Here is a 10,224-nt window from a genome sequence, read left to right as displayed (position 1 = left end):
AGTGGACCTTTTTTTGGTTTATTTTTGTTTTTTTTCTTTCAGCACTTTAAAGATATTGCTTCACTGTCTTCTTGAACACATTGTTTCTAATGAGAAATTTACTGTCATCCTTGACTTTCTCTGTATGGAACATTTTTTTTCTTTGGGTAATGAACATTTTCTCTTATAGCCCTGATTTTGAACAATTTGTTTATGATGTTCCTCGATGCTGGCTTTTTGTTTTTTCACATTTGTTGCATTTGAGGTTCATTGAGATTCTTAAATCTGTAGGTTTATAGATTTCATCATGTTTGGAAAAATTTCAGTCATTATCTCTTCAAATATTTTCTCTGTCCTCTCTTCTCCCTCCTTCAGGGATCCTGTCTGGCTGGAAAAGGGAAGATAAACTTCCTACAGTGAGCAGATTTGAGATAGGTCTTGAGAGTTGGTTAGGACTTGAACTGGTAGAGATGTCAATCAAAGACTTCGCAACTTAATATGAAAGGATCAAGAGAGGAAGGAGGTCATCAAGATTTCTTTCATGCCTGTCTGGCCAGAGGAATAGTGGAATAAATGGGGAATAAAGGACAGTGAGCTTTTTTAAAAAAGAGGAAGATGAGTTCATTCTTGGTTATGATTGAGCATGACGTACTTTTGTGACCTTTAAATAGAGGAGTACAAAAGCGAGTTACAAATGTAGTTTTATTGCTCAGGAGTAGGTTGGGACAAGAGACTCTGATCTGGAAATTAGCAATATAGAGGTGGTAGCTGAAACAACGCTGGTAGTTGAGACTCCTAACATAGATGGTACACAAAGTATCAAGACCTAGTCATTTCAGCCCTTCCATTTCTAGTAATTTCTTCTAGGGAGATAATAGTAATTCACAAAGATTCATGAAAAAAGGTTCAGTGAAGCACAGCTTGCAATTAAAAACAAGTAGAAACTACATGTCCCACAATGGAAAATTGGTTAAGTAAATGAAATATACAGTGAAATACAGTACAGTCATTACAAATGTTGTATTTGAAGAATATAACAGAAAAGTGTTCACTATATGTTAAGTACAGAAAGCAAGTTATAACCCTACAACATAGCATGGTCTCATTTTTAATAAAAATGGATGCATATATAAGCAGAGACAAAAGAGGTAACACCACATAGCTTATCTTTGGGTGGTAGTCTATGGATGGTCTTTCCATTCTTTTGCTTATCTACAGTTTCTACATTCTGTATAGTAAAGTATATGTTACTTTTATACTAAGAAAAAAATCGATTTTCCTTTTTAAAAGCTGATTTAGAAAAAAGCCTGTGGACTTCCACACTTCATAGAGCATGGAAAGAAGAAAAGGAAGTGGCAAATGAGAGAGACAGTGTAGAATCAGGACTATAGGACAACCTGGGATGAAGGGGCTAACACTGGAGCTCCTGCCAAAAACAGGGTGATCTAAACTCTACCAAGAGGCCTCTGGGCTTGGTGATCTGAGCCATTATGCACTTAGGAGAGCACTTTCCTTAGGATAGTGCAGGGGAGGAAGGAAGAGCACTTTCCCCAGGATGGTACAGGGGAGGCAGTAAGAAATGGGTTAAGAAGTGATAGCTGTTGAGAAGTGTGGTGTGGAGAGAAGGAGGTGGGAGGATAGTCACTCATTGGCCCCAGATGTTTCATGACCCCAGATCCAGATGCTCAGCAAGTCCCATTCATAACAAAGACATGGGGCCACTGTGCAGTTTCCTTGCTGGTGGCCATTTCCTTGCACCTGCTCTTACTGCAGATACAGGCCTGTTGCCAAGATCATTCGAATGAGATACTACAAACTGCAGGACACAAACTCCCTCGGCATAGCAGTTGCCTCCTGATATGGTTTGGCTGTGTCCCCACACAAATCTCACCTTGAATTGTAATAATCCCCACATGTCAAGGGTGGGGCCACGTAGAGATAATTGAATCATGGGGGCAGTTTCCCCCATACTGTTCTCATGGTAGTGAATAAGTCTCATGAAATGTGATGGTTTTGTAAATGGGAGTTCCCCTGCACAAGCTCTCTTGCCTGCTGCCATGTAACATGTGCCTTTGCTTCTCCTTTGCCTCCAGCCATCATTATGCAGGCTCCCCAGCTATGTGGAACTGTGAGTCCATTAAACCTCTTTCCTTTATAAGTTACCCAGTCTCGGGTATGCCTTTATTAGCAGCAAGAGAACAGACTAATACAGTAACTTGGTACTGGTAGAATAAATTGGTACTGGTATTGATATTGGTAAATTGCTGCTGTATAGATACTCAAAAATGTGGAAGTGACTTTGGAACTCGGTAACAGGCAGAGGTTGGAACAGTTTGGAGGGCTCAGAAGAAGACAAAAAAATGTGGGAAAGTTTGGAACTTCCTAGAGACTTGTTGAATGGCTTTGAAAAAAATGCTGATAGTGATATGGACAATAAAGTCCAGGCTGAGGTGGTCTCAGATGGAGATGAGGAACTTATTGGGAACTGTAGCAAAAGTGACTCTTGCTATGTTTTAGCAAGGAGACTGGTGGCATTTTGCCCCTGTCCTAGAGATTTTTGGAATTTTTAACTTGAGAGAGATGATTTAGGGCATCTGATGGAAGAAATTTCTAAGTGGCAAAGTGTTCAAGAGGTGACCTGGGTGCTGCTAAGAGTATTTTGTTTTATGTATGCACAAAGATATGGTTTGGAATAGGAACTTATATTTAAAAGGGAAGCAGAGCATAAAAGTTCAGAAAATTTGCAGCCTGATGATGCAATACAAAAGAAAAACCCATTTCCTGAGCAGAAATTCAAGCTGCTGAATAAATTTGCATAAGTGATGAGGAGCCAAATGCTAACCGCCAAGACAATGGGGAAAATATATCCAGGGCATGTCAGAGGTCTTCATGGCAGCCCCTCCCACCACAGGCCCAGAAGCCTAGGAGGAAAAAATGTTTTTGTGGGCCCAGCCCAGGGACTTGCTGCTTTGTGCAGTCTGGGTACTTGGTGCTCTGCATCCCACCTGTGGCTAAAAGGGGCCAACAAAGAGCTCAGGCCATTGCTTCAGAGGGTGCAAGCCCGAAGCCTTGTTGGCTTCCACGTGGTGTTGAGCCTGCAGGTGCACAGAAATCAAGAATTGAGGCTTGGGAACCTCCTCCTAGATTTCAGAAAATATATGGAAAGGCCTGGATGTCCAGACAAAAGTTTGCTGCAGGGGCAGAGCCCTCATGGAAAATTCCTATTAGGGCAGTGCAGAAGGGAAATGTGGGGTAGGAGCCCCCACACAGAGTCCCAATGGGCACTGCCTACTGGAGCTGTGAGAAGAGTGGCACCATCCTTCAGACCCCAGAATGGTAGATCCACTGACAGCTTGCACTATGCACCTGGAAAAACTGCAGACACTCAGTGCCAGCCTGTGAGAGCAACCAAGAGGGGGGCTGTACCCTGCAAAGCCACAGCAGCAGAGCTGCTCAAGGCCATGGGAATCTACTTCTTGCATGAGTTTGACCTGGAATGTGAGACACAGAGTCAAAGGAGATCATTTTCGAGCTTTAAGATATGACTACCCCTCCCCAGGATTTTGGACTTGCACGGGGCCTCTAGCCCTTTCGTTTTTGTCAATTTCTCCCATTTGGCACAGGTGTATTTACTCATTGCCTGTATCACCCTTGTACCTTGGAAGTAACTAAGTTGCTTTTGATCTTGCAGTCTCATAGGCTGAAGGGACTTCCCTTCTCTCAGATGAGACTTTGGAACTGTGGACTTTTGAGTTAATGCTGAAATGAGTTAAAGCTTTAGGGGACTGTTGGGAAGGCATGATTGGTTTTGAAATGTGAGTACATGAGATTTGGGAGGGGCTGAGGCAGAATGATATGATTTGGCTGTGTCCCCACCCAAATCTTACCTTGAATTGTAATAATCCCCATGTGTCAAGGTTGGTGCCAGGCAGAGATAATTGAGTCATGGGGGTGGTTTCCCCCACACTGTTCTTGTGGTGGTGAATAAGTCTCATGAGAGCTGATGGTTTTATAAACGGGAGTTCCCCTGCACAAGCTTTCTTGCCTGCCACCATGTAAGATGTGCCTGTGCTTCTCCTTTGCCTTCTGCCATGATTGTGAGGGCTCCCCAGTCATGTAGAACTGTGAGTCCATTGAACCTCTTTTCTTTATAAATTACCCAGTCTCAGGTATGTCTTTATTAGCAGCATGAGAACAGACTAATACACCTCCAGAAACTGGAAATTCCTGGGCCCAGAACCCAACCATCTGATTCAGCCCATATAGGGTGGGGGCCCAGGAATCTGTCTTTGATAAGGCCTCCCGGGTGATTCTGACAGTCCAGTTGCAGGCCCACTGCATCAGGGCATGGGGACTACAGGCCTCCTTCCCCTTTGTTTGATTTGCACCCAGAGCTGGAAAAGACTGAACCTCTGAGAGATATGAAAAGGCTTCCATTGGAGGTTTCTGTAAATAGCACAACTGCATGTTTTGTCATAAATCAGTAAGTCTAGGATGTGGAAAAAATATATCTTGGGATCCATGGCCTTGCATGTGTCCTGGGAGATTTTAGAGCCAGGCTCTGCACAACCCGAAGTCAAGAAAGGGCATGACTCTTGGGAGTGACAACTTGTTGGAAGCGGATTCCAACCATGCTTCCCATTTGGCCTGAGCTGAGAGCTAGCAGTTTCCCTACTCGCAGGACACCAAGCAACAAGAACAAAGAAATTGCTCCACCAAGGCTATCTACTTATGAAGATGAAAAGCTGTTAGAAAGTGGTTAGGATTAGATCAGCCAACGTGAGTGGCCTCTTGAGGAGAAGCCAACCTGGAATGAGAGATGAAGGGTTCTTGTTGAATCTTCTAAGAGAAGGGCCCTCTGAGGGCCCCCATCTATCCCCATCATAAGCAATGTCTAAATAAATTGTGCTAGATCCTGTTGTAGTTTCCAAATATTTGCCATTTTTCCAGCAAAAAGTTGATATTAATATTTCCCAACTGCTGCCATCAGGCTTGGCCACGTGGCTTGCTCCAGCCAATAACGTGAATGAAATTGATTTGCCACCTTCTTGCAGGTGCATGATTCTACCATCTTTTTTCCTTCCTTTGCCTCAAGACCAGCACATTCCAGATTGGGCCTGCTCCTATGTCTGGGTGCCAGAATGAAGAAGACATGGAGGAGAGCTGCAGCCAACCTATGAAGGACACATAACACAGCAAGAAATAAACGTCCTTTGTTATAAGAACATGAGTGTGGGGCCATTGGTTACCATAGCATAACCTAGCCAAAGTTGACTAATAAATAGTTTTTTAGAATTGTAAAAAAATTATAGCAATATTAAAGTGATTTTTTTAAAGAAAAGCAACTCTTAATTTACTTTCTAGCCTTGGTTAAATAGTTTTAATTTCCACAGATGCTCACATGCTAATGTGCTGAAACAGACATTACACTTTAGGCTGCGTCTCCCCCAAACTTCTTCCCTAGAAGGAGCCTGGTGTTGGAGGAGGATCTCACTCCACTGCTAGAGAAGGCCAAGGAAGAGATGGTCTGTGGAGCCAATGCCCAGCACAGGGCAGTCTGTTGTCAGTGAAGTGAAACAGAGCACTCGCCACCACTCAATTCCTGGAAAAAGCAGTGCCAGGCTGTTTCTCTTCCTACAAACAATCTATCATGCCTGTTGACTACTCTGCCAAGGAAAGGCTGAATATCAGCTCTGTTCCATGATCTCCCATTTCCTGAAGTCTCAGTCCTAACAGAGGTTGTGAACCTGCATGTGGTAAGGTAGAATTTCTGGGAATTTAGTAGCAAACAATGCAAGCATTGCCTCTGCCCTCTTGGAGCCTATGCTCTAGTGGAGTCTGATGGAATGAATGCATTTAATACATATTAAATAATTACAAAGTGAGTAAGGCCCACTGAAGCAACAAACCAGACACTTGTAATAGATTGAAAGGGCAGAGGCAGCAGAAGAAAATCTATTTAATACAGACGTTTTCAAACATTAGTGAATCATGAATTCTATTTAGATGTTTATAGCCAGATTTTTAAGAAAATGAAATAGAAATGAATGGAGTTGAATAAAATAGGAATCATTGGAGTGCATCACATGTGTTGTCAATATTGCTTTATAAAACTCATTTCTGGGCCAGGCACGGTGGCTCACGCCTGTAATCCCAGCACTTCGGAAGGCCGAGGCGGGCGGATCACGAGGTCAGGAGATCGAGACCATCCTGGCTAACACGGTGAAACTCCATCTCTACTAAAAATACAAAAAAAAAAAAAAAAAATTAGCCAGGCATAGTGGCAGGCACCTGTAGTCCCAACTACTCAGGAGGCTTAGGCAGGAGAATGGTGTGAACCCGGGAGGCGGAGCTTGCAGTGAGCAGAGATCGCACCACTGTACTCCAGCCTGGGCAACAGAGCAAGACTCCGTCTCAAAAAAAAAAAAAAACTTATTTCTGTTGTATATATGTATTATATATTTGTGCAGTAACTGGCTCATAATATAAAATGTGTTGTTATAGTGAATTGTGGTAAAAACAAATTTGAAAAACCTAATTTACAATATGGCTTCAGAGAATCAACTCTGGGGAAGACATTACAGTGAACTGGCTGACTTGATAATTGTTTTTTTATTTACTAGTGAAACTTAATGCTCATGCTTGTACTTCTAAAATGAAACAATAAAAATTAAAACCAATCTTTTATTAAAGGAAGCAAAAGTGTTATGAGTTGCTCTTTTCAAATATTGATTCTACTATTTTGAATAGAAATATGTCTTAAGTTGTAAATGTTAGTTAATAATAGTAGGTCATTAACAGCCCTCTTCAGAACTTACTGGCAATAATGAAATGTGCTTCCTGTGTTTCAGAAATAGTGTTTTTTTTTCTTTTTTAGAGCAAGCCAAACTTTGCCTTCAACCTCATCTCATTTGCAAGCTACTCTCATATAGCTAAGAATTTGGTATTAAAAATAGGCACAGGCCTTAAAACACAAGAGTTTAGATTTAGTTTCCATGTTTTCTGCTTATTCACAGAAATATTGACTGATTGATTGATTGAGACAGGGTCTCACTCTGTCGCCCAGGCTGGAGTGCAGTGCTACGATCATGGCTTACTGTAGCCTCAATGGCCTGAGCTGAAGCAGTCCTCCTACCTCAGTCTCCCGAGTAGTTGGGACCATAGGTGTGTGCCACCACACCTGGCTAATTTTTAAAAAATTTTTCATAAAGATGGAGTCTCACTATGTTGCCCAGGCTGGTCTTGAACTCCTGGGCTCAAGCGCTCCTCCCACCTCCCAAAGTGCTGGGATTACAGGCATGAGCTACCACATCCAGTCTAGAAATATTTATTTAATAAAATAAATATTAATGGGTAGTACCAATCCGTAATTTGTACTATCTTAATCCCTGTGGCAATTAAAAAACAGAGATGGCAATACAACTTGTAGGCTATTGAACATATTCATTTTTCATAATTACTTGTTTTTTTCAGGTGGGTAAATTGCAAAAAACATAGGTAAAGAGTTCTATACTTTCTGGAAAAGACTTCCACCTTGGGATTGAGACAGTTTTGAACACAAAAGAAAACAAATTTTTTTCTCCAAGTACATGGTCTGTCATTTATCAGATTTAAGAAGTCTTGGGACATCTTTTGACAACATTTTCTCCAATGCATCCATGGAATCAAAGGACTTTTCAACTTGTTTGGGGGTAGATTTTTTGGTCTAAAGTTGGAAACATATGTCTTCTTTCAATAGAACAGTGGATGTCTGCACACGTATTTTTCAATGTTTACACCTACAAGTCTATGCACATTCAAGACATTGGCAACAGTGGTGTTATTGGCAAGGGTGGTTGGGATAGTTCCTTTTCACCATATACCTGTAGTATATGCCACAGGTTAGCTGTCAACTCCCATTCCAATGCATGTTTTCCTTTGCCTTCTTCACTGTGGATCAAAAAAGCTAAGAACTTACCTTTCAAGACCCCCTTGTGGCCAGGTGTGGCCATGAGATGTCAGCAGCAAATATCTTTTGGTCCTTTGCTCTTTGGCCTTTGGTCTTCCCTCTTCCTTCATCCTGGAATGCCAACATGATACTTGGAGTTCCAGCAGCCTTGGGAACAAAATCCACACATTAAGGGCAGCAAAGCAGGAGACAAGTGGTTCCTTAAGTAGCTTGCAAGTCTTATTCTACTGCTGAAATCCTAGTTGTGAGAAAAATAATTCTCCCAAGATGTTGAATTTATTGCTTGTAAGAAGTAATGCAAAGTTGAAAGTAATCCTAACATTTGGTCGGTTTCTTTTTTCTTTTCAAAGTTTAGACCAAGTGCATGTATTACCTACTTTAAAAATAATAAAATTCTAAAAACAATGTAAAGTGTATATATAAATCTTTGTTGTATTTCTTAGATTTTTGAATAGTTCAAAAAACCTCTGTTTGGCTTTTTTATGACCTAAGTCTTTAGGTTATCAAAAAGTTATTCTAGTCTTTATCTTGACAAAGTAGTATAAGATAATATGCAGTGGTAGAGAAATATAGCTTTTGCAATATTCCCAAGTAAACACCTGAAAGCAAAGTTACCACCTGGTCCAGCAGCCAGTTGAGTTGGTGACATGCAAGAAGGCCCTACAGCCACCTGAATTCCTCTGTCAGAAGAGCTACCTTTGTTTTATTTGACAATCTTTGGACATCAGATGTAAGACAACCGCCCTGGAGTGTGAACTCTGGAGATACAAACTTATCAGACAATTTCTATTTCATTCAAGATGGCATGACTTTCATACACCAGCATCTGAAATTGTCTGAGATACTGACAACGAATGTGTAGGGACATTCACCAGGGAGCTGAGATTTTTATTTTGAGCTCTTTAAAACAGTGCCCCCCAGTGGTATGCAATAGAAAAAAAAAATCACAAGATTAATATATCCACATTGTTGGTGCAAACAGAACCCATTCCTGCTAGAATGAGCTGAAAAAGAGGCTAAGCATGGTGGCTCACATGTATAATCCTAGCACTTTGGCAAGCTGAGGTGGGAGGATCACTTGAGCCCAGGAGTTCAAGATCAGCCTGGGCAACATAATTAGACCCTGTCTCTATAAAGAATAAAAAAAAATTAGTTGGGCGTGGTGGTGCACACCTGTGGTCCCAGCAACTCGGGAGGCTGAGGCAGGAGGATTGCTTGAACCTGGAGGATTGCTTGAGCCCAGAAAGTTGAGGTTGCAGTGAGCTCTGATGACACCATTGCACTCCAGCCTGGGTGACAGAATGAGACCCTGTTTATAATAATAATAATAAAGAAACAGAAAAAGTATATATTAAGGGTATTATTTGTCCCACTACTAGCTCAAAGTACAAATGGAAAAGCCAACCATTCCTCAAGAAACATCACTCCCCAGTTGAAGTGGAATTCCAAATGTTATAATCAATATGTGTTGACTACGAATGTGAATAGTGCCCCTGTGAACTTGTGCAATGTACACCTACACCATCCATATGTAGCCCTGGATATTAAGTGGTTCAAATAATTTCTGGAAAGGTTCAAGAATCAAGCTTGGAAGCCACACAGTCATCAACCATTCCCAAAATTATACTGCAGGTTTGCTATATGGGAGACCTAGAGTCACTGCTGCTTGGCATAGACACCACATATGATCGATGAAGACTGGGCCACTTATGTACATCCTAGCTGCAAGAGATGCTGGGGAAGCAAGTTCTTGGAGTCAACTTGGGGAGGTGCTGACTCATGAAGTTGGAAATCCCTAAATTTAGGAAGGTATTTGTGATGGTGAATTTTAATGTGTCATCTTGACTGGGCTAATGGATGCCCAGATAGCTATTAAATATTATTTCTGGGTGTGTCTGTGAGGATGTTTCTGGAAGAGATTAGCATTTGAATCGGTAGACTGAGCAAAGAAGATCACCTTCATCTATGTGAGTGGAGTGGGCATCATCCAATCTGTTGAGGGCTTGAATGGAGCAAAAAGACAGTGGAAGGCAAATGTGTTCTCTGCTGGAGCTGGGCCAACCAGCTTCTCCTGTCCTTGGACATCAGCATTCCTGGTTCTTGGGTCTCTGGACTCAGATTGGGCCTTATGTCATTGGCTCTCCTGCTCTTGGGCCTTCAGGCTTGGACTGGATTACACCACTGGCTTTCCTGGGCCCCCAGCTTGCAGACAGCAGACTGTGGGACTTCTCAGCCTTCATAATCGCATGAACCAATCCCTCATAATCTCAATTACTCCCCCCACCCTCTCTCTATAT

This window comes from Homo sapiens, chromosome 2 (assembly GCF_000001405.40).
Source record: "Homo sapiens chromosome 2, GRCh38.p14 Primary Assembly".
NCBI classification, from domain to species: domain Eukaryota; kingdom Metazoa; phylum Chordata; class Mammalia; order Primates; family Hominidae; genus Homo; species Homo sapiens.
Note: the sequence above shows the minus strand (reverse complement) of the source record.